The sequence below is a fragment of the Homo sapiens genome, chromosome 3, assembly GCF_000001405.40.
Source record: "Homo sapiens chromosome 3, GRCh38.p14 Primary Assembly".
In the NCBI taxonomy this organism is placed as follows: Eukaryota; Metazoa; Chordata; class Mammalia; order Primates; family Hominidae; genus Homo; species Homo sapiens.
The window spans coordinates 66563526-66588159 of NC_000003.12; the positions used below are offsets into that span (position 1 = coordinate 66563526).

General features: G+C 42.3%; 1 long non-coding RNA gene across 1 annotated transcript in view, besides 2 other annotated features; it reads left to right on the forward strand.

The window, feature by feature from the left end:
• Positions 1-3719: 3719 nt before the first annotated feature.
• LOC105377141 (uncharacterized) overlaps positions 3720-24634 on the forward strand; it is a 40002-nt gene continuing 19087 nt past the window's right edge. The window contains exon 1 of the long non-coding RNA XR_940934.2: positions 3720-3795. This is a non-coding gene — a long non-coding RNA (uncharacterized LOC105377141). The remainder of the gene's footprint in view (positions 3796-24634) is intronic.
• Positions 8512-9426: an enhancer, noted in NCBI's record as "OCT4-NANOG-H3K27ac hESC enhancer chr3:66622461-66623375 (GRCh37/hg19 assembly coordinates)". NCBI's record gives its function as "activates a minimal SCP1, AML or CMV promoter by ChIP-STARR-seq in naive and primed H9 embryonic stem cells {active_cell/tissue: H9 hESC(naive and primed)}" and the evidence as "EXISTENCE:reporter gene assay evidence [ECO:0000049][PMID:30033119]".
• Positions 9427-10340: an enhancer, noted in NCBI's record as "OCT4-NANOG-H3K27ac hESC enhancer chr3:66623376-66624289 (GRCh37/hg19 assembly coordinates)". NCBI's record gives its function as "activates a minimal SCP1, AML or CMV promoter by ChIP-STARR-seq in naive and primed H9 embryonic stem cells {active_cell/tissue: H9 hESC(naive and primed)}" and the evidence as "EXISTENCE:reporter gene assay evidence [ECO:0000049][PMID:30033119]".

Sequence of the window (24634 nt, forward strand, 5' to 3'; positions counted from 1 at the left end):
TTTGTTATTGCTTTCTAAAAGAACTTTTTTACTCTATCCTTTAGCAGTGAGATTGAAAGAATATTGAGAATTCCCTGATGGGAACCCAGCTTTCATTATTAAAAGGAAGGCCCTGAGTAAATATGAAATTACTTACATTAGGGCTACAGACACCAATGAAGGCTGAACGCCCAATTATAATAAATGAAAATTGTTAGTTGAATTTCCCCCCAAAACCACAGAGGCATAAATACTTCAGGAATTGATTTTCTTTTACTCAGATACCTTATAATGATTCAGCAAAACAAAATTATAAATACTTCAGCTCTGAGTAATATTAAATTGGGAGCAGATTGGATCCTACTCCCCACAGTCCACTTACCTCAGACAGGTCGGCAGTACCAGGATGTGCTTCAGTGGAAAAGTTTATCCTAAATTGATTGGAGCAGAAAAAACAAAATCTGATATATGTATTTTTAAACTCCCACCCCTCATCATGTGCTCAGTGCATTTTTTCCCCCTCATCGCAATTTTGTAAAGGTCTGATTCAAAATATTTAATTAGAAAATTAGCTTAATCAGATTTGAGGGAACTAAAAATAGAACAACCCTAAGGTGAGTGTATATATACATACACACACACACATATATACAGGTTCTCTGTTGTCAGATAGCAATTAAGAAAAAGATTACCACTAAGAAAAAAATATATATCTATTTTATGTACACATATACCCACACATACTTGTAGTCAATTATATTATTCATGGTAGCTATGTTCTTTAAAGTTGTAACAAATACTGAATTAGTAAATAGCAAATCATTGACCCTAGGGGAAACTTAGGGTTAAGTTCCTGCAAACCTGTGGTCACAACATGATTATTCACTGATCAACACATAACCTTGTTTTATGTATGTTTTTGTTTAAAGACACCTTATTTAATACACAGTGCTGATTCATTTTTAACATTGAACTCACAAACACCATAACTCACATCTGCACAAAATTTATCTAACACACGTATTTTCTCTGTAAGGCACATCACAGCCTTCTTACGCTTAGGAACACAAGAGAACTATGGTTGGGGGCTGTTTTAAACAGCAAAATCACCAACTAAAAGCACACAAATGTGAAAAACCTGGTGCTAGATAGACCTCGAAAAGGACCCCTGTTTATAGGCTGAGGGGTGAAACAAGTATTCGACCTGGGAACATGCACATTAGGTGACTCAAATTTCCCCCCTCTTTCCGCAGGTCTGAATAATCACAGAAGTGCTACAGTATTGATTTTGGGGGTTACAAACATGTATATATACACATACATATGTACATACACACACATATGTACATATATACACACACACACATATATCTTGTTTGTTGGTGCAAAAAATTGGTTCTCTGTTCACTACACGTATGTGAAAGGAAGTATTCTCTCTACCAGGCCTTCCTATAAGACCCTCAAGCTGGGAGTAGGTAAAGTTTTTTAGTAAGTGAATGGCTTTGAGGCTGTGGAAGATAAAAAGATGGATCAACTGCCTAAGATATGGGGTCCTTAGAGAGTGGCAAATAGAAATCCCCACCCTGCCCATTTCTCAGGCACATCTAACGCTCCCCAGTCACAGAGCTACGTACTAGATGTGTAAACTTGGGCCAAGCAGGTAACTGCTTTGTACCTCAGTTTCCTCAAGTATAAAATGGGATAAATTTTAGAACATACTGTCATGGGGCCAGCATTGCATGGGCGATAAGAATAATTTATTTACCAAGACAGTCGCAGTTAAAGAAAGGCAGATTAGAGAAAGTATGAAAATATGTTGCAAGGAAGCAATGGGCAGGTCAGCAAAAGAAGAGCCGACTGCAAAGAGACAAAGGCTTGCTAGGGCTTTTATAGGATGTTGTGCTATGTGCTGAAGAGGGCTCTGTGCAGTACTGATAATGCCAAGGTTGCAGTGAGCTAACTTGCATTTTTCTTTCAGCCAAGGGTCTGGTGATAGCTGGGCTCAGGAAGATTGTGAGTCATTTGTGCAGGAGGGGCTATGTGTCTTGGACCATGAAGAAAGATAGACTTATAGTTTATCTGCTTTCTCTTTTTGCTTTCCCTCGTTTCTGGCAGTCCAACTCCCTGTCCCTAATTAGGACTCCACACGTATCTCTTTGAGTTGCTGTGAGGATTAAATGAGATAATGCTTGTAACAATGAAAAAGCACAAGTCTTTTCTTGGTACGACCAGACCTTAGATAACTCCTGACGAGATGCAATATGTGAAACATACAACCCAAGTATGACATATTATTGTCAAAAACAGTGAAGCCTAATCAAGCCTCCGGAGCCAACCAGGAGGGAGAGTTAACTAGTCAAACAGTTTCATGCTTTGCAAACAATCAGATAAATTCAGGAGGTAAGACAGCTGACTTTGTGTGTGTATGCGTGTGTGTGTGGGGGTGTGTGTGTGTGTGTGTGTGTGTGGCAACAAGTTAATAGCATGAAAAAAAGAAAGGGAAGGGGGAACTTTCATGAGATGAAAGAGAAATAATCATCAAGTGCAATATGTGCACAATTAAGTTGTACAAAGACACCTTTGGGACAGTTGGGGACATTTGAATATAACTGGCTAGCTGGTATTAAATAATTAAAATAATTACCTCTATTGTTAATAGAGGTAATAGAGAATGGTACTGCAGTTTTATAGGAAAATGTCCTTATACTTTAGAGGTTTATACAGAAGTGTTAAAGGGTAAATGACATGTTGCCAGGGATTTAAAAAAAATATTATGGGAAGGGAAAGAAAAAAAAGGGAAAGATTAGGAAAAAACACTGCTAATTAGTTGCTTGACTAAAGTTAGTAGTAAATTATTTCTTTTTCTTTGTTTTTGTTTTTGTTTTTGTTTTTGTTTTTTTCTGAGATGGGGTCTGGCTCTGTCGCCTAGACTGGGATGCAGTAATGTGATCATAGCCCACTGCAGCCTCAAACTCCTGGGCTTAAGTGATACTCCTGCCTCAGCCTCCTGAATAGCTGGAACTATAGATGCACGCCATCATGCCTGGCTAATTTTTAAAATTTTTGGTAGAGATGGGGGTCTCACTATGTTGCCCAGGCTGGTAATGAACTCCTGACATTGAGTGAAGCTCCCATCTCAGGCTCCCAAAAGTGCTGTGATTACAGGTGTGAGACATTGCACCCAGTCAACAGTAAATTCTTTTGAAGTGGTTAGAAGTCTGCTGCCTACAGTACTTTTGGAGTTATGGAAGGGTTTAGCTCAATTCTATGTAGTTGTTATTACTTAAAGAGTGAACTTTTGGCAGGGCGCAGTGGCTCACGCCTGTAATCTCAGCACTTTGGGAGGCCGAGGCAGGCGGATCACGAGGTCAAGAGTTCGAGACCAGCCTGACCAACTTGGTGAAACCCCGTCTCTGCTAAAAATACAAAAATTAGCCGGGCGTGCTGGCGTGCGCCTGTAATCCCAGCTACTCAGGAGGCTGAGGCAGAAGAATCACTTGAACCCGGGAAGCAGAGGTTGCACCGAGCTGAGATCGCGCCTCTGCACTCCAGCCTGGGCGACAGAGTGAGACTTCATCTCAAAAAAAAAAAAAAAAAAAAAAAAAAGAGAGTGAACTTTTAGTTGCAGTGAGAGAGAAGAGAGAAACATAAGAAATGGTTGCTAAGTAATAGCTTAGTCAGCAGAGGTCTGGAATCTCTGGGGTCTCTGAGATCTTTCATGTGATTCATGAGTTCCAAAACTGTTTTTATAAGAATGCTAAGGAGCTGAAGCTGAGACCTAAAAGCTAAGCAGGAGTGCTCTGGGCAGAGGGAATGGTACGTGCAAAGGCTCTACAGAGCACTCTGCATATGGAAGTCTGACTCAAAGTGCTTCTGTGTAATTGGAATGTACAGTTCACAGCACATACATAGCTGATGGAGCGGTTTGTGGGAGGATTCCTTTGCCTTACATTTGTTCATTGGCATGGGACTGAAGCCTTGGCATTGAGTGCCACACTTCTTGCAGTGAGGTAGGAACCTGTCAAAGCTTGGAAGGCCATCTTAAAGGTATCCAATTCTGAACATTTTCTCTCTTGTTTTCTGTATACTTAAGAATACTACCTTTGGCCAGGTGCGGTGACTCACACCTGTAATCCCAGCACTTTGGGAGGCTGAGGCAGGCAGATCACGAGGTCAGGAGACCGAGGCCATCCTGACGAACACAGTGAAACCCCGTCTCTACTAAAAATACAAAAAATTAGCCAGGAGTGGTGGAGGGCGCCTGTAGTCCTAGCTACTCGGGAGGCTGAGGCAGGAGAATGGATTGAACCCGGGAAGTGGAGCTTGCAGTGAGCCGAGACTGCGCCACTGCACTCCAGCCTGGGCAACAGAGCGAGACTCCTTCTCGAAAAAAAAAAATGCTACTCTTAAAGATACCCAGGTTTGGCAAAGTAATTGTAATCACCCCAGTCCATCCTATAGGGCACTTGTGAGTTTATAAAGCTCTTCCTTATGGGCATTTCTGCATTTGGATTTTGAGCCAATAGGGTAGACACAGTGGGCATTATTATCCCCAATTTACAGAGTGGGAAAATAAGGCTCTAAAACATCAAGTTTCTTGACCTGTGTTACCCAGTTAATGAGTAGCCAAGCCAGGACTTGAAGCTTGGTCTTTAGCCACCAAATCATTAATAAACTAATCAATTCATTAAAATGCTCATTGATTCCATATGATTCCGTCATAGGTGATGGCTGAGGATGCAAGATGAATGAGACAAGTCCTTACTCTCACATACTTGTCCCCTGTGTTTCTCCACATGTCTCTCCAGTCCCCTGTGTCTCTCCAGTGTCTATTCTTCCTGATGCTCTCCCTTCCCCCAACCCCCGACAGGCCCCAGTGTGTTGCTTCCCTCCCTGTCTCCATGTGTTCTCATCATTCAGATCCCACTTACAAGTGAGAACATGTGGTGTTTGGTTTTCTGTTCCTGTGTTAGTTTGCTGAAAATAATGGCTTCCAGCTCCATCCATGTCCCTGCAAAGGACATGATCTCATTCCTTTAAATGGCTGCATAGTATTCTATGGTGTATATTTACCACATTTTCTTAGTCCATTATGTTATTGATGAACATTTGGGTTAATTTCATCTCTTTGCTATTGTGAATAGTGCTGTAACGAACATACGCATGCATGTATCTTTATATTAGAATGATACATATTCCTTTGGGTATATGCCCAATAATGGGATTGCTCGGTCACATGGTATTTCTGTCTCTTGGTATTTGAGGAATTGCCACAATGTCTTCCACATGGTTGAACTAATGTACACTTCCACCAACAGTATAAAAGCCTTCCTTTTTCTCTGCAACCTCGCCAGCATCTGTTGTTTCCTGACTTTTTAATAATTGCCATTCTGACTGTGAGATGGTATCTCATTGTGGTTTTGATTTGCATTTCTCTAATGATCAGTGATGCTCAGCTTTTTTTCATGTTTGTTGGCTGCGTGAATGCCTTCTTCTGAGCAGTGTCCATTCGTGTCCTTTGCCCACTCTTTTTTTTTCTTCTTGTAAATTTGTTTAAGTTCTTTGTAAACTCTGGATACTAGACCTTTGTCAGATGGATAGATTGCAAATATTTTCTCCCATTCTGTAGGCTGCCTATTCACTCTGATGATAGTTTCTTTTGCTGAGCAGAAGCTCTTTAGTTTAATTAGATTCCATTTATCAATATTTGCTTTTGTCGCTATTGCTTTTGGCATTTTTGTCTTGAAATCTTTGCCTGTGCCTATGTTCTGAATGTTATTGCCTAGATTTTCTTCTAGGGTTTTTATAGTTTTGACGTTTACGTTTAAGTTCTTACTTTCTAAGGCAGAAGTGGCAACATGGTAACCTATAGGCCAAATCTGGCCCTCAGGTTAAATCAGGCTCACGGACACAGTATTGGGGCCTTCCCCTTGCTGGTTATTCTCTGTGTTTTAAATTTGAATTAATCACCAATGTTTCCCTTGAGGGAGAGTTGTACATAGGGATCTGGATTCTGACCTCTCTTAAACAATGGAAAGATCTGGCAATACGAGTACTGACTCAAGTGCACTCCAGTTTGCCACAGTCCCCATGGTCTTCTCTTGTCCCTGGGATAGTGCATTAATTCACAGCATCTGCCTGGTCTGGGCCAGGCCTAAAGGATCAAAGACTGCTTCTTTAGTGCTACATCCATGGCCCTCCATGATTTGGCCTCAACTTGCCTCTTTTGCTTCATCTCCATCCCATTTGGAACTTTATGCTCTGGTAATAAGGAGATGATTGTAGTTCCCAGAATAGAGTATGTCTGTGGTTCCTTTAAATGACCTGTACCTTTTTCTCAGTTCTACTGAACCATATGTTCCTTCAAGACCCAGATTAGATATCATCTTCTCCAGGAGGCCTTCCCTGACCCTTGAGGATCTCTTTGTGTTCCCCTAGTTTCTTGTGCCCTCTCTAACTATGATACTGAAATGATCTGCTTATCCAGTAGCCCCCCCATTGGGAACTTCTCTCACCTGCCTACATTCACTTTTGTAGCCCAGCACCTAGTGCAGTGTCAGGCATACCTAGGGGCAGGTGTCATAAGAACTCAGACTCCAAATGCTTCCATTAGAGAAGGCCTGGGAATCCAGAGAGGGGAATTTTATTGGAGACCAAATCCCTTTCTGCAGCCTTTTGCCTTCTTTTCTCTATGTGTCCGTTCCAGGAGCCCCTGTGCATGAAAAAAAATTTACTAATTTGGTTTTACTGGGCACATTGGGCTTTAGATAGGAGATAGTTTAAATAATCAAGTCTTTCTGGCTTCTTGCCTTTGCACGCCTGGATGAGCCAGAAGTGAAAATGTAGGTGAGTCACTGAGTTGCCTCTCGGCCCCACTGCAGTGCAAGGCTTAGGAGACCCCTCCTCAAGAATGGTGCTCCTGGCAATTTGGGAGAGGGAACTGATTCTGAGAAGCCAGCCTAGGCTAGGATGGCTTAATCACTATAATTACTCATTGCAGCTATTAATAATCGCTAGTTATTTAGATATGAAGTAATTAATTCACCACTATTAAATAGAGGTACTTAGTGAGGAATTAAATACTTTGCCTAAAGCTATCCTTAGAAGAAAGGCAGGGAGGCCAGGTAGTATGGTGGCTTCTGCCTGTAACCTCAGCACTTTGGGAGGCCAAGGCAGGAAGATTTCTTGAGGCCAGGAGTTCAAGACCAGCCCAGGCAATATAGTGAGACACTGCCTCTACCAAATAATAATAATAATAATAATAATAATAATGGGGAACATGGTAATCTAATTTAGAGCCTGCTCTATTCCAAACCAACTCCAGGAAACTCACCTCGATGACAGGATCTGGTTGAGGATGTTATTCCTTACATTGCAGAATGTCCTCCTGCTCCTCTGTATCAGGAAAAGCCATGTTGTTCCTGGACAGTGTGAGTTAGATAGCCTGTCCTGATTCCCTTTCTGTGTTAATTGCTGGAAAGCTCAGAGTCAAATTTGTGACTTGCTTATTTAGGTTTGTATGGTGTTCACTTTTGGAATAAGCCTCATTCTTAGCTTTCTACTTGTATTTTTCTTTCTTTTGGCCTACCTACTTAAAAAAAATAAACGTCCCTACCCTGCCTTTACTAAAGAATGATACTTTGTGCAAACGAAATCTTTAAAAATGTATAGAACACAGAAAAGCAAACACAAAATGAGTAAAAATCACCTAGTCATACCCAGAGAGAACACCATTTATATTTTGGTATATTTTCTCCCTACCCCCACCTAACCCACAGTCTATACATATATTTTAGGTTGGTGCAAAGGTAATTGCGGTTATCGCCATACTTTTTTTTTTTCTTATGAGACAGAGTCTTGCTCTGTCACCCAGACTGGAGTGCACTAGTGTCATCTTGGCCCACTGAAAACTCTGCCCCCCAGATTCAAGTGATTCTCCTGCCTCAGCCTCCTAAGTAGCTGGAATTACAGTTGTGCACCACCATGCCTGGCTAATTTTTGTATTTTTAGTAGAGACGGGGTTTCACCAAGTTGGCAGGGCTGGTCTGAACCCCTGACCTCAAGTGATCCACCTGCCTCGGCCTCCCAAAATGCTGGGATTACAGGCGTGAGCCACTGTGCCTTGCCTATTATTGCCATTACTTTTAGTGGCAAAAACCACAATTACCTTTGCACCAACCTAATACAAAATGAGATTATATCATATATAGTGTTTTATAACTGTCCTTCCCTTCACCCCACTTACTACACCATGCACATCTTTCTATGTGATTAGGTGTCTTCTGTCTTGTAGATGTTCCATAATATATTCAATCAATATAAGATTGTTGAATGTTAGGCTGTTTCTAAATGTTTCCTTTTATAAAACAACCAAAAAAATGTAATAAACACTCGTATCAAAATCTTCATGCATAGATTGATCTTTTGGTGACAATTCTTAGACGTTTTCATTGCCTTTTAACTTATGTTGCTTCATTTAATGTATCCTGTCAAGCACCCTTAAATACTTTCTGGAACAAGCTGAGATAGGACTAATCTGTTGCTCAGCATCACCACCCATCAATTACCTGGGAAAAATTTTCTCGGAAGACTCAAGATACAAAGAATGATAAGAGGTGATCTCTGTGTCCTCCCGGGGTTTAAATTCGACTAGGCGAAAACAGATGACCTATAAAAATGTGCACTAAGTGACCAAATACAAGGTTAGAGAAAAGTTTATATATAAGGTGGCATCTGAAAGCTGCCAGAGGCAACAATTCATAAGGACAGGTTGGTACATTCAGCAAATATTTACCGTACCAAGTGTTTTGTGCACCCCGTGCTGAGGATACAATGGAGATTAAGACCCAGTCTTTGTCCCTAAGGAGCTCAAGGTCCATAGGGGGTGAATGAGTGAAGGGGAGGGTCTCAGAGTACTTACACAGATTATTGCAAAACAACCTGGCAAGTGTTCTTAGAGACACACAGGATTTTCTGGAAGCTTGAAGTCTGGAAGAGGGGGGCCAAAAAAGGCTTCCTGGAGTTGAGCCTAAAGGATGAAGAGAAAGCCAAACAAAAGAGCAAAAAGACCTTTTGCAGAGAGCAGTAGACAAACTTTTTGACTTTGCCCCACAGTGAGAAATTCATTTTAAATCTTGATCTAGTATAGGTACATTTTTGTACATAAGTGAAACAAAAGTTTCATGAATTGATTGTCTAATACGTGCAAAATAATTTTACTTTCTATTTTAATTCATTAAAAAATAGTATGGTCGCAATCTACTAAATTGTTTTGATGACCCATTCATGAGTACTTACGTGCTGATTGAACATTATAAGCCTAAACTGAGGATGGGTTTAGTGCTTGACAAAGCGAGAGTTAAATCCAAGTAGTGGCTAAAAGTCTCTGGAGTAGAACAGCCAGGTCAGGAAAAGGTCCTTGAAAAGCCCCTCTTACTTGCAAAATGAAGCATAAACATGCTCCAATTGTCATAATAAAAAGAATGAAGAACACCTTTTTGTTCTTTTGAGTGGTTTACCAAAAGCTCCCTCACCCTTTGTTATGTAGAGCTGGTACCTGGGGAGAGCTGGTACCTCTGTTTGTGGAAATTGCCTCAAATCTCTTTCCCCCAACATTCTGAGTCTTTCAGAATGGCGAGACAGGGTGACGAAGTACCTAAGATAAAATTACCCTGAGGACAGCCTTACTAACGATTAGGTTCAACTCAAAGGGCTGAGAATTCACAAGGGTGGGCTGGTTTGGGCGCAGTGTGCGTATGATGGTCTGAACTTCCAGGTTCAGATGTGCTTTGGTAAGAAATGGCTGAGTACGTGCTTACCAAAGCACAGTGGATGAGAAATGTGCTTACCAAAGCACAGTGGATGTGCTTTGGTAAGAAATGGCTGAGTATGAGAGTGTAAACGGGGAAAAAAAGCTGTAACGCTAAAGGCCATAATGAGACTTCAATGAGCTTCAGCTGGTGCCCGGATCAGTGAGGACAACTCAGTAACCAACGCTCCATCCACAAGCAGTGGTGCGGAGCCAGTCTTCAGCAGCGCCCCCGGTGTTAGTGGGAAGCAATAGCAGTAGTAACTGATGAGCGCAGTTTCTCTGGCCTGGGGAAGAGGTGTGGTAAAATCCTTATGGACTCAGTAAGACTCTAGGAGGGTTCTTGGTCAGTTTTGTGTGTGGGGAGAGGTCTTAAAGGAATGATACAGAACATCCTGCCATTAAAGCACAGACTAGTTTAAAACGTGTAATCAGATTTGAAGTCTGAGTTTGTAGAGCAGGTATGTATGCCAGCACCATGTGGAATTTAGCCTAGGTTCATCGAATGGAGCCCATATTCTTAAGCATGCCACCAGTGGTTTTTCAAGTGTGGTTTCCTGACCAGAAGCATCAGCATCTCCCAGGAACTTGTTAGAAACGCACATTCTCAGACTTCCTTCAAGACCTGCTGAATCAGAAACTCTGAGAGTGGGGCCCTGCAAGCTGGTTTCACAAGCCCCCCAGATGAGGAAACTGAGGCTTGGAGAAGGTCCCACAGCTAGCCAGCAATAACCTGGATTCAAATTCAGGCACCAGCTCCCAGGGCCCATGCTCTAAACCACTAGCACAGCGTTTCTCAAACTTTTTTGGACTAAGCCTCAGAGTTGGAAATGCAAATTATTCTTATTTTAATTTTAATTTTTAGTTCTGGGGTACATGTGCAGGATGTGCAGGTTTGTTACATAGGCAAACGTGTGCCATGGTGGTTTGCTGCACCAATCAACCCATCACCTGGGTATTAAGCCTGGCATGCATTAGCTGGAAATGTAAATTATCTCATGGCCCAGGACACACATATAAAAGTGTTAGGAAACAATATACATTTTTTTTCCTATTCTATTTTCTTCTATGCTCTTCTATTTCAGCTAAAAAAAGTTTTTAGCTATGGCTCACCAAATTGGTTTCACATCCCACTAATGACTGGGTTATAACCCATAGTTTGAAAACCCCTGCATGAGAACATACTATTTTACACCAAAAAAGCCAACCAGTGTGAAATAGCAAGAATGTAAGACATGGGAGATGTCATTTAAGTATGTTATTGTTAGGTACAGGTGACAAGTATTACGGTCAAACATTTGAGAGAGAGAAAAAGAGATATTGAAATAGGGGAGGTAAGAGAACTGAGGCTTCCATGGAGAGGCAGGATACAGAGTTCTAAGCCTTGAGAATGAAATAGAATTCAGAGGGAAAAAATCAGGGAAGGACACTCTAACAATCCCTAGGCCTTAAGGGATTAAAGTGGGAACTACTAAATGTCAGTATTATCATCTGTAAAATGGGGTAATAATTGTCCCTATCTAAAGGGTTTACTGTGAGGGTAGAAGAAAATAATGCATGTTGGCCGGACCCAGTGGCTCACGCCTGTAATCCCAGACTTTTGGGAGGCCAAGGCAAAAGGATCACTTGAGGCCACGAGTTTGAGATCAACCTGGCCAATATAGTGAAACCCCGTCTCTACAAAAATATAAAAATTAGCCAGGCGTGGTGGCACGTGCCTGTAATTCCAGCTACTTGGGAGGCTGAAGAAGGAAAATTGCTTGCGCCTGGGAGGCGGAGGTTGCAGTGAGCCGAGATTGCACCACTGTACTCCAGGCTAGGAGACAGAGAAAGACTCTGCTCAGGAAAAGAAAAAGAAAAAGAAAAAAGAAACCAATAATGCATGTGCCATGCTTTGCACTTAGTCACTGTTCACGGGCAAAATGATGAGAACCACATAAGTAAGCATTTCTGGTAGTCATATTAAAAAAGAAAAGAGTAAACGGATGAAATTAATTTTAATAATATAGGCCCGGTGCGGTGGCTCACGCCTGTAATCCCAGCACCTTGGGAGGCCGAGGCGGGCAGATCACAAGGTCAGGAGATTGAGACCATCCTGGCTAACACGGTGAAACCCCGTCTCTACTAAAATTACAAAAAAATTAGCCGGGCGTGGTGGCGGGCGCCTATAGTCTCAGCTACTCGGGAGGCTGAGGCAGGAGAATGGCATGAACTCGGGAGGTGGAGCTTGTAGTGAGCCAAGATTGTACCACTGCATTCCATCCTGGGCAACAGAGTGAGACTCTGTCTCAAAAAAATATAATAATAATAATATATATTACCTAACCCAACATATTCAAAATATTATTTTGACACGCAATCCATAAAAAAATTATTAAGATATTGCATGTATCTTTTTCATAGTGTATCTGTGGAATCCAGTGTATATTTTACACTTGTAACTTGTCTTGATTTTGATGATCCACATTTCAAGTGTTCACTTGCTACATGTGGCTCGTGGCTGGTGTGGTGGGCAAAGTGGGCCTAGCACAGAAGTGCTCTGTAATTATTACTGTTGTTATAATTATCATCATTGTTGTTATTCAGTGTTGAGCAATGGAGTCAAGGACTTTTTGTGGGTGTGGGGTGGTGGTTGTGTGGAGTAGAGCAGCGGAACACCCTATTTGCCTGACTTCCAGAATGCCAGCTTGCTGGGATTTCAGTGCAGCTGAGGCCTCAAGCCAGTTAAGCCTATGGGTCCCAGACTCACTGGCCAGTTGGTGCCCTTCGTGCGATCCACAGACTGTTCAAGTATCCATGTTTATCATATGGTCATGTTTATACTTTTGTTTCTGGTAGGAATTAATAATTTACTTATGATACTTAATAAAAACCAGACATCACCTCATCGGTGTTTAAACAAAAACAGTGCAATTTATCTTATTAATTCTGGTGAGGTCGTCTGTCTTCTGCTGTTGGATTTGGAGGGTGGTGTGGGCAGGCATTCTATGGGGTCTTAAGCCAAATGGTCCTTGGTCCTCAAAGTGTAAGCTTTTGGTTCATGTGGGTATGTAGTGGGTCACTGTGGGAGGTAGGATGATGGAGTGAGGCTGTGGAACCAGGACCATTGCTGGGTCGAGAGAGCTAGAATGCTCACGCAGGCAGTTGGCCTGCATACCCAAGGAAGCCAGTGCCGGCATGTAGCTCCAAGTGAGAGCGTTGCACACTTTATAAGCATGATCTCCTCTATTCCCTCCAACTCCTCTCCGAGGTACCCATTCTACAGAGGAGAAAACTGCAGCTCAGAGAAGTTAGGTAGCTTGCCTAGCTCCATGATGGTCAAACCTGGCCTCTCCCCCAGGGTGTGTGACTCCACGGTCTCTGCTCTTAACCACTTTGCCACACCGGAACTTCCTCCCCAGACCTTCCTCACTGGAGCCACCCTCTCCTTGGCATGGTTTTTTTCCTGATTTGGAAGCTGACTACTAAGTCTGGTCAAGCTCTTTCCTCGCTTGTGAAGGAAAAGTACTTTCCCAAGGAAGTTGAACAGGTCCGCGTGCAGCAGTGGATACAGGTTTCCCAGCTCTCAGAAAAGAGTGGGTGGAAGGCTAGGTTTCAGCTTTTCCTTATCCTGCCAGAGGCCGGTGGCCTCCCTGTGTGGACAAAGGAGCCAGCAAGTGCTATCATATTCCACTTTAAGGATGTGGATGCCACATCACCTGCTATGCTCCAGCCGCGTTCTTCTCCCTATAGTTTCTTGAATTTGCCAAGCTCTTCCCTGTCTCTTGGCCTTTGAGCTAGCTCTCTTTTCCCAGGATTCAGCTGAAGCTGAGAATATCACCTTCTCAGAGTTGCCTTCCTGACCACTACATATAAGCAGCTCTCTATCACAACAATTTGTTTCCTTCTGGCCATTGATTATATACTTGTTCACTGGTTTACTCATCAACTGTCTGATTCCCCAGTAGAATGTTTATTTTTACAAGGGCAGAGAACACATCTGTTTGATTTACTAATGAATTTCTCACACCTAGTACACTGCCTGGCCCCAAATAGGATATCAGTTAAATATTTCTTGCACAAATGAACAAATCAAGACGGAGATTCCCCAAGATTCATGGCCACTGTGTGAACCTGGAAAAGTTCCTTCCTTCTCTGGGGCTCAGTTTTTGCATCTGTAAAACGGCCTTGAGATGACCTCTAAGCTTCTTTCCAGCTCTGAAATTCCACAGCTCTCTGATCTGACATTGGAAACTGCTGAGCCCCACCCCATTCAGTTATTTTGCCTTTATCGCCCAAGTATTTCTTTAGAAAAGGGGGTGGGGATGTTCTAAAGTAGACCCTTAGTTCCTTTTTGAGCATCTGGGCAATTTTCCAATGCTTATAATTGCATTAGAAACCAGCAAAGTTAACCTAGTTATTGATTCTGGAGTTTCGAGTCTCCATTGGCAAGACCAAACCCACAAGTTGGCAGCTTGGTATTCTTTTTTCTTTTCTTTCTTTCTTTTCTTTTTTTTTTTTTTTTATGGTAATGTTATGAGATTACAGGTTCTGTAATCTGGATCAACAACTCTTTCACTTCATAATAAAGTTGTATTTTTAAATTTTGCTTTTGACTTTAATTGCAGCCAGGCATGAAACGAGAGAATGAGGGTGCCTTTCCAGATGAGTGCACATTCAAAATCATTCAAACTCTACTTGGAAGAGGAGAGGAAAATTAATAATGAGAACAAACAGGCCTTTGGAACCAGGCTCCCCCTCCTCCCTTCTTCATAAAATGAAATCCTTCTCCTCACAGAGTAAATGGAAAAAACACCAGAGCAAACAAACTGGGGAGGTGCTAGCACAATCGGTTCTTTTCGTCTTCACAGACCTTAATCAAGTGAAGACCCAACAGAACTACGTACAGGACAAAACCAGATAATTCGACATTCATTCATTCATCCCACAAATGTTTAGTGATCATTTATTCTGTGTCAGACTTTGAGCTGGGTGTGGGGATAAAACAGTGAATAAGACAGAAAAAATTCCTATCCTAATACAATAATACTATTCATGACAATAATAATAATTGTTGTTCACATTTGCTATGTGCTTAGCACAGTGAAAGAGCTCTTAGTGAATTTTCTCCCTTAGTGCCCACAACATTTTTATGAAGTAGGCACCTTTATGAGTTCTATTTACTGATGAGGAAACTGAGGCACAGGGGAATGGAGTGATTGTTCAGGATCATGTGGCTGGCCAGGGCAGCAGCAAAGATGGCTCTGGGGGCAGAGCTCTGCTACCACAGAGTTGAGTCCAACAGAGCAGGTTGGTGAGCTCATAGGCAATTCTAATATGGTTTGAGAAGTGATACGATGGGGACACAGAGAAAGGACAGGCTGGAGAGGCTGAGGAAGAACTTGTGAAAGATGTTTTGCCTACACTGTGATCTGAAGAATGAGAAAGAATAGCTAGGCAAAGATTGTGGGGCATCTGGAAGGGCTAAAAATGTTTCAGATGGGAGAGAAGTGAAGGAGCAGGCCAAAAGGGGAAGAGAGATGAGTCTGGCAGATAGACAGGAGGCCAGATCATGAAGGGTCCAGGAAGCCAGGCTAAGACCTTTGCAACCTGGTGGTGATGGGAAGGCCCTGAAGTAGCACCATGTATTAGTCTGTTCTCATGCTGCTGATAAAGACATACCCAAGACTGGGCAATTTATAAAAGAAAGATGTTTAATGGACTTACATTTCCACATGGCTGGGGAGGCCTCACAATTATGGAGGAAGGCAAGGAGGAGCCAGTCACATCTTACATGGATGGCAGCAGGCAAAGAGAGAGAACTTGTGCCGGGGAACTACTCTTTATAGAACCATCAGATCTCATGAGACTTATTCACTTTCATGAGAACAGCACAGGAAAGACTTGCCCCGATGATTCAATTGCCTCCCACCAGGTCCCTCCCACGATATGTGGGAATTCAAGATGAGACTTGGGTAGGGATACAGCCAAACCATATCACACCATGAACTTCATGCCTTGGAAGGGTTATGTCTAATGGCTATGTAGACAGAATGGGCTGGACGGTTGGAGGTAGAGAGATGAATTAGATCCAGAGGTATGGTGGTCCAACTCAAGGCTGGGGGCAGTGGTGAAGAACAGTGGTATATAGATCTGAGACAATTTGGGATGTAAAAATGATAGGACTTTGTGACAATGCAAATGTCCACTGTTGAAATCAGGCAAGTGACTTAAATGAACAACTTTGGCTGTCTGTGGTACCTGATAACTCTTGGCTTTATTTTGTGCTGTATGGACAGGGTCACATATCGGAAAAGTAGGCAACTCTCTACCCTGAGGGGTCATCTTCTCACAAGGGCCTAACCAAATGTCCCTGTGAAGAACACCCCAGCATTGATGTAACAAAGTAGCCTTTTAAGTGGTTGTTCTTTACACTGTTTTAGTCCCTCATATGAATTCCTCTGCTAATTTATAAGTAGGATAGAGTGTTTTCCCTTGTAACCACTGCTTGAAAGTGATTTGGCTGGGTGTGGTGGCTCACACCTGTAATGACAGCGCTTTGGGAGGACAAGACAGACAGATTGCTTGAGCTCAAGAGTTCAAAACCAGGCTGGGCAACATGGTGAAACCCCGTCTCTACAAAAAAAAAAAAAAAAAATACAAAATACAAAAATTAGCTGGGCATGGTGATGGATGACTGTCGTCCCAGCTACTCTGGAGGCTGAGGTGTGAGGATCATCTGAGCCTGGGAGTTTGAGGCTTCAGTGAGCTGTGATTGCACCACTGCATTCCAACCTGGGCAACAGAGTGAGACCCTGTCTCAAAAAAAAAAAAAAAAAAAAAAGAAATTGATTTAATCAGGTATGTTGTACTTTTGCCTTGGTTATCAAGAAGTTTAGCATGAATTTTTATTCACACACCTATATTGCTTTGGAGGGTATGTACCTATTAGTAATCTACAGTTTATTGAATGTAGTATCTGCTACTTAGGGTATAGGACTTTGAAGAGATGGGAAATAGGAAAGGGAAGTGTTGATGGAGACTTGCAGGTTAGGAACACTTTGGAAGCTGGAGCTGTGTGATGGATAAGTAGGCTTGAAACAAACCTGACTGGGGGCCATGGAAGGTCTGGCCAAGTCATCATAAAAGAGCACCAGAGTCATTGGTAGGAGAGAAAGTAGAAAGCCACTGGTCGGAGGAAAGTGGGCTAGAATGTGGCCACCCAGCCTTGTTTTCTGCCCTTGTGTTAACACAGGCAACAAAGCCACAGTTTTGAAAGACTTGAACAGCAAATTCAACATACCATGATTAGGTGAATGTCCACATGGAATGATGTTCAGGAGGCTTAGAAAGACATTCCTAGTTTCGGCCAGGTGCAGTGGCTCATGCCTGTAATCCCAGTACTTTGGGAGGCCGAGGCAGGTGGATCACGAGGTTAGGAGATTGAGACCATCCTGGCTAACACGGTGAAACCCTGTCTCTACTAAAAATACAAAAAATTAGCCGGGTGTGGTGGCGGGCGCCTGTAGTCCCAGCTACTTGGGAGGCTGAGGTAGGAGAATGGCATGAACCCGGGAGGTGGAGCTTGCAGTGAGCCGAGATCGCACCAATGCATTCCAGCCTTGGTGACAGAGCGGGACTCCCTGTCAAAAAAAAAAAAAAAAAAGAAAGAGATTCCTGGTTTCCTTTATGCAAATATCCTTATTACATTTTGGCTGTTGGTGGCTCATTCATTGCATCAAATTATTGCCATCCCAGAAAGTCTCTGTGAAAATGTGAGTGCCCCTGAGTAGTGTCATGTAATAAGGAACAAATCATAGCAACTCAGACCTTTGAGCTGAAAGAGGCCTGTGGGATAATTGATGGCAACCCTCATATTATGGATGGGGAAACTAAGCCACAAGGAGGTTAACCAAATGAGACTAAAGTCTCAAAGCCAGTTAGTGGCAAAACTTGGATTACAATGCAGATCTCTGGCTTCTAATAGAAGATATTTCCACATCACATGATTAGAGGCCAGTTCGTGTACTATTCCTTTCTAAAGTAACAGCCGAAAAAAGGGAATGAGATCCAGGGTGAACAGGTTTTGACAGGAAGGGAGATGAGAGTCAGTCAGGGGGACAAAAGTCCTTCCACTCCAGCCTTGTGTGTAGAGGAGAGGCCACTAAGCCTAGCCGTTCATAGTTCTCCACACCCATGTTTATTGATATTGACTCAAGCAAGCAGTGGGTTCTGGATCCAAGTGGATCCAATCAGAGTCCCTCCAAAACGGGACGTATGGAAGTCTCACTTCCTCTGTAAAGACTATTTGACCTATTTGACAGAGACTGCCTGCGTGTGAAGGCAACACAGAAAAAAGCAGAGCCCAAACAAGAAAGAATGAGGAAGGTAGAGTGAGGAGGAGGGCAGGAGCAAGAAACAGATGAGAGAGTGAGAGGGAGATCAAGAGATTGAGAGAGAAAATGCAAGAGCAAGCAAGCATCTGGAAGAAATAATTTGAGTAACTGGATCCAGCTATGCCTGAAGCCAGATGCACTCTAAGACTTTTCAATTTATGGGAGCCAATAAGTACCTTTTATTTTTTCTGTTTAAACAAGTTCAAGTTGAAGTTGTCTTACTTTTAACTGTAAAGATCCCATTTATAATAAGCTTTTCATATAAATCTACTTGATATTTGCAGGCACCTTGTGAGATAGATATTATTATAATCACCATGTTATGAATGTGAAAACTGAGGCTCAGAGATGTTTAGTGATTGGCTTAAGATTATAGAGCTTTGTGAAATCAGTCTGTGCTATTCTTCATAACACGGGTGTCCCAATCTTTTGGCTTCCGTGGGCCACATTGGAAGAAGAATTGTCTTGGGCCACACATAAAATACAATAACACTAACGATAGCTGATGAGCTAAAAAAAAACAAAAATCACAAAAAAGCTCATAATGTTTTAAGAAAGTTTATAAATTTGTGTTGTGCTGCATTCAAAGCCATGGACTGCAGGGTTGGACAAACTAGCTTTACATGATCCTTCCTTTTTTTTATTTACTAAGGCCTCGCTGTTCAAAGCGCAATCTGTAGACCGGCAGCATTGGCATTACCTGGGGGTGTAGACAGGAATGTAGTATCTGAGGCCTCATCCCCAAAACGATTGAATCTGAATCTGCTTGTGAACAAGCCCCTCGGGTGATTGGAATACATAATGCACTTTGAGAAACACTGCATTACGATCAGGGCTGACTTCAGGGTGGTGGGGTATTGAGGGTGGGTGGACATACCTGAGCAGTCTGGACACAGCTCTGTCCTTTCACGGCATGGTCAGGGGCCAGCCGCCCTCTTAATGCTGTTCTTCCTAGCATGGTGTGTTAATATATCGTTAGCTGCTAGGATCATGCTAAGCAGATAATCTGCTAGATAACTACACTGGTCACATGAAGTGGATGATTGGACTCTCTGAGTCTGAGCCTGGGACGCTTACTCGATGGAGAGAGAGGCAGGCTCGTCTCCAGCTTTGTGTGGGCAGATGCTGTGCCAGCGCCCAGGCCGCGGCCTCAGGACCACAGCAAGTCTCGGCGGGAAGCCCACACGTGAGCAAGTCTCCTTTGAGGTCTGCATGTGCTGCAAGCGGAAGCCTGTGGTCAGCATGTGGCAGCTCAAATAATACGCTCCACTAGTGTGAGAAAGCCACAACACAGCACGGAGGGAACCATTCACCAGAACCTTCTATCGCGTGTCTGCCGGGCAAGGTGGCCGCTGCAGCTGGGATTGGAGCAAAGCCTCCGAGTTCACCAGTCCATACGCCCTGGAGAATCGTGTGAAAAGACAGGTGGACCATGACGAAGGAGAGCTCCTATAAACACAAGCTTAAAAAAGGCTGAAGTCTGCCTGCCTGGTTTATTTCTGCCAGCACTGGGGCTGGGTGAGAACACAGACACATCCTTCTACTTCTCCGGCTCCCTGAGAGAACATGCCAAGTTCTGAATGTCTCTAATGGAGATACCTGGCCATGCGGGGGGTTGACAGACAGAACTGTTTTGGGGACCAGTTCCAATTCCTTGGATGACTTGGTGCGTCCACCTCAGCTTTTCTTCCATGTTCCTGGAGAAGGACCATTCATTCCTCTGAGCCCCGTGGTCCAGCACCACAGGAAGAAAAGTCTGGGAGTCACCACTCCTCTGACTTGGGAGCACATTTCGCCTCTGATGTCTTTTTCCTGAATGCATTTCAGCTTTACTCTTCTGATTCTTTCTCTCCCATCTGGTTTCTATCTGACCCAAGCAGCTGTTTTTTCCATTGAAAAGAACACATTTACCTCTTTCTTCTTCACATGCCATGTTTTCAGTTTTGAAATGCTTTTTCATATGGACTGAAACAGTCTGGATTTTCTTTTTTTTCTTTTCTTCAGGAAAAGGGAGTACCCGTATTTTGATTTGGGTATGTGCAAAGTCTTTAAGCAGACCCACAGAACAATGGCAGTGAATGTCTTCACTCCCCTAATGGCTAGGAAGCCATTCTGTTTATTCATGATCACCATGCTCCATGCACAGAAAGACTCTCAGCCATGACTAATATTAGCACAGCACAGTATATATAACATGTTCAGTCATGTATCATAAATATTTATAAAGACCACAGGAGCTTTTCTCATAATGCAAAGAGATGTGCCCGAGAAGAGTTGAGCAGTATGTGTTGGGTGTTTTTGGAAAATGAATAGATGCCCTTTTTTCCAAATGACAAAATAACCTCCCCCGCTGACCTCCCCGCCGCACTGAATTTAAAGATAGTTGGAAGGCAAAGCTCTGGAATTTTCTCTGTTGATTGAAGTGTGGGCAGAACACTTTACCATTGGTGATGGAAGAATTTATTCCCATTTTAAGTAATGTTTACCTATCCAGCCACGCCATAGGAAAGGGGATCCAGGGAGAATTTGAAAGAGTGAGGTTTGACATTCAAGACAGCGGCCTTATAAAGGAGAGGTGCTGGGACCAAAAAGTGAGTGAAATCTCAGCTCCACCATTGTCAGCTATGTAACCTCTTTGTACTCGCAGATTTCCCTTCCTTCTCAAGGTCTTCGGACATGCTGTTACCTCTATGTGCAACACCCTTCCCCCGTTTCGTGTGGTGGTTCCTTTAGGTCTCTGCTTCAATGTCACCTCTCATAGAGGCCTTCCCTGACCACCCTCCACCAATGCAGGCACAGTCATTTGCCTTGTTTGTTTGTTTCCTTAATTACATATCTCTTGTTATATCTTTGTTTCCTTGTTTTGAATCTACCTCACCCTCTATAAGTCTTCATAATGGTAGGTAGGGACTGTGGTTCCCCCACTTCTCATTTATCTTTTTTTAAGTTGATAGACTTTATATTTTGGAACAATTTTAGGCTTACAGAAACATTGAGTAGAAAGTACAGAATTCCCATATATTTCCTCCCCCCAGCTTCTCCTGTTACTAATATCTTGAGTTAGTGTGGTACATTTGTTATGATTGATGAGCCACTATTGATGTCTTATTATCATTAACTAAAGGTCATAGTTTACTTTAGGGCTCACTTGTACATTCTATGGCCCTTGTCAAAGGTTTAATGTCATGCACCCAACATGATAGCATCATACGGAATAGTTTCACTGCCCTAAGAATAGGCTACACCTATTCATCCCTTCTTCCCTGTCCCAAACACCTGACAACCGCTGATTTTTACTGCCTCCATAGGTTTGCCTTTTCCAGAATGTCATATGCTTGGAATCATACAATAGGTACCCTTTTCAGATAGGCTTCTTTCACTTAGCAATCCACACCTCCTCCATTTTTAACGACTGTATTCTAGAGTTCCTGACATAAGAAGTGCCCAGTGAATATTTATGGAATGAACAAATGAAAGAGCTTTATGTTGTCCTAATTTGCAAATTGAGTCTACTGTACAGAGTTGTGAGGATTTGAAGAGTAACATATAAGAAGGACTTTTACAGTGTCTAGCCCCTGGTAAAACCTCATAACGGTTGTTACTTTTTATATTCTGGGGTTGTTTCTGGATCTTGATGATGCTGGTATAGGCCTGGGAAGTGTTTAAGGTCTGATAGTGTGTTTATGAAACTCAGACTTTTTTGAAAGCTTTCGCTGGTAAAGCTACAATTTCTCAGTCAGCCTCTGTATCTCCGGATGGCCGCTCCCTAAAATTATGGGGCCTTTGGGAAATCTTGGTGAACCACTGATAGGATGTCTCTGGTCCTCGTTTTTCAGTACAAAATATTTTCACTATTTGCAATTTTTTAGAGTGATTCCTCTTTCAAAATGATCTTAGGGCTCTATATTTGAAATGTGCTTACTTCTTTTCTCTTACATTCTGTTTAGTAACCCCACCTTTTCTTGAAGAAAATCTTCACACTGTTTCCAGTTCCACTTCCTTTTGCTGTGGAGTGGAAATTCTGATCCCTTTCCTGGTGGGAACTTGATGAGACTGGCCTAGTTGTAAAAGAGTGGCTGGCCCAGGTGAAGTTTTCATATCCTTTAACTCTCCAGTCTTCTGAAAAACCCAGGTTGCTGAAAGAACTTCTGAAATGTAAAACGTGAAAAGTGTTTCACAATAGCTTCCATCCCTGGATTGTGTAAAATGCTTTTAAGAAGTAGAACATTTCTGTGGCCCTTTTAGGTCAAGATAGAAGTTGTGTCTTCAGTTCCTATGTTTTGTCTATCTAATGTCACACATCTGGGTATTTGGAAATAACTAGGTGACTGGCCACATGAGTGTGCTGGCATTTTGTAGAGTTTTAGGATCATCTTTTAGAACAATAAAGGGTAATTTTTTTTTAGATTTTAAAATGATTTATACCAGAATTGGTTAAAAATATATGACTTTGTCATTTTCAATAGGAAAAATAATCTGTTTTTTTCCTCTGGGAAGAAGAAAGTGCCACGACTTAATTAACAAAGTTGAAAAACTGTAAAAGAAATTTCTTTCATGGAATAACCTTAATCTTCATAGGCTACTAGTTCTAATAGTTTAAAATACCAGTTGTAATTTTGCATCTTTAGATATAAATTTGATTCCTTCTTGGAACCTGACCTACTTGTCTGATGGTCAGATGAAATCCAAAGATGAGACTGGGTTAGGGCAGGGGTTGTTAAGAGCTATTGTACATGGGGGTCATATGGACACTTGGTGCTTATTAAAAATGCAGATCCTGGGCCAAGTGCAGTGTCTCCCGCCTGTAATCCCAGCACTTTGGGAGGCCAAGGTGGGTGGATCACTTGAGGCCAGGAGTTCAAGACCAGCCTGGGCAACATGGCAAAACCCTGTCTCTACTAAAAATACTAAAAATTAGCCAGGTGTGGTGACACATACCTGTAATCCTTGCTACTCAGGAGGCTGAGGCATGAGCATTGTTTAAACCTCAGAGGCGGAGGTGGCACTGAGCCAAGATGGTGCCACTGTACTTCGGCCTGGGTAACAGAGTAAGACTCTGTCTCAAAAAAAATCAGATCCCACTTGCCACCAAGATTCTGACTTAGTTGCCTGGGATATGAGATGAGGCCCAAAGTCTTCATGCATGTGCACCCCAGAAATGTACTACATCAGTGTTGCTTAAACTAATATTTACAGAGCAGTGTTCTAAGTGATTTACATTTATTAACTTATTTAATCCTTCCATCACCATAGGAGGCAGGTATCATTATTATCTTCATTTCATAGGAGATGAAGTTACATAGGAATTGTGCAGCTCACTGTCATGAGGACACACAGACTCAGCTGGTTAGAGCAGAACTGGAGTTCAAATTCCAACGGTCTGGTGCCAGAAGCTGAGCTTTCAGCCACTTGGCTACCCTCTCCCTCATGGATTATCATTCTTTTCTTACTTTGAATGTGGATGATAAATTTTTTTTTTCAGTTTTTGCATGAATGAAAATTTGCATCTATATGTGCAACTACTTCAGCCATATTGAATAGAATGGTCAGGCGATTACGTCAACAGGACCAGGTATACAGACATAAGACCACTTAAAAAGAAATGGGCACACCCATTAGCATGGGTGTTATCCAAAAAATGGAAAATAACAGTGTTGGTGGGATATAGATAAATTGGAACCCTGGTGCATTGCTTGTGGGAATGTAAAATGGTGCAGCTGCTATGAAAACAATTTGGCAATTCCTCAAAAAGTTAAACATAGATTTACCACATGAGCCAGTGATTCCACTCCTAGGTATATACTCAAAAGAACTGAAAGCAGGAACTCCAATGGATTCTTGTACTGCCATATTCATAGCAGCATTATTCACAATAGCAAAAAGGTGGACATAACCCAAATGCCCACCGACTGATGAGTAGATAAACAAAATATAGTTTCCATACAGTGGAATACTATTCAGCCACAAGAATAAATGGAATTCAGACGCACACTATGACATGGATGAATCTTGAAAATATATGCCAAGTGAAATAAGCCAGACACAGAAAGACAAATATTGTATGATTCCATGTATCTGAAGGGCCCAGAATAGGCAAATTCATAGAGACAGAAAGCCAGGTGCTAACAGGAGGAGGGAGTGGGGAAGAAGGGAATTGTTTAATGGGTACAGAGTTTCTGGATGGGATGATAAAAAATTCTAGAAATAGGTAACGGTGATGGTTGTACAACATTCTGAATGTACTTAATGCCATAGACTATATATTTAAAAATGGTTAAAATGATAAATTTTATGTTATTTATATTTTGCCACCAGTGAAAAAGACAAAAAAAAAGAGAAGTAAGTGGCAAAGAGAGACCACCAGCCAAGTGAGAAGAGACAGTGAAGCAGTGACTTTGCATCCAATTCAGATTCTTATCTCAGCTCTTGGCATTTTATCCAGACAATTGTCTTCATGAGTACCCATTTCAGT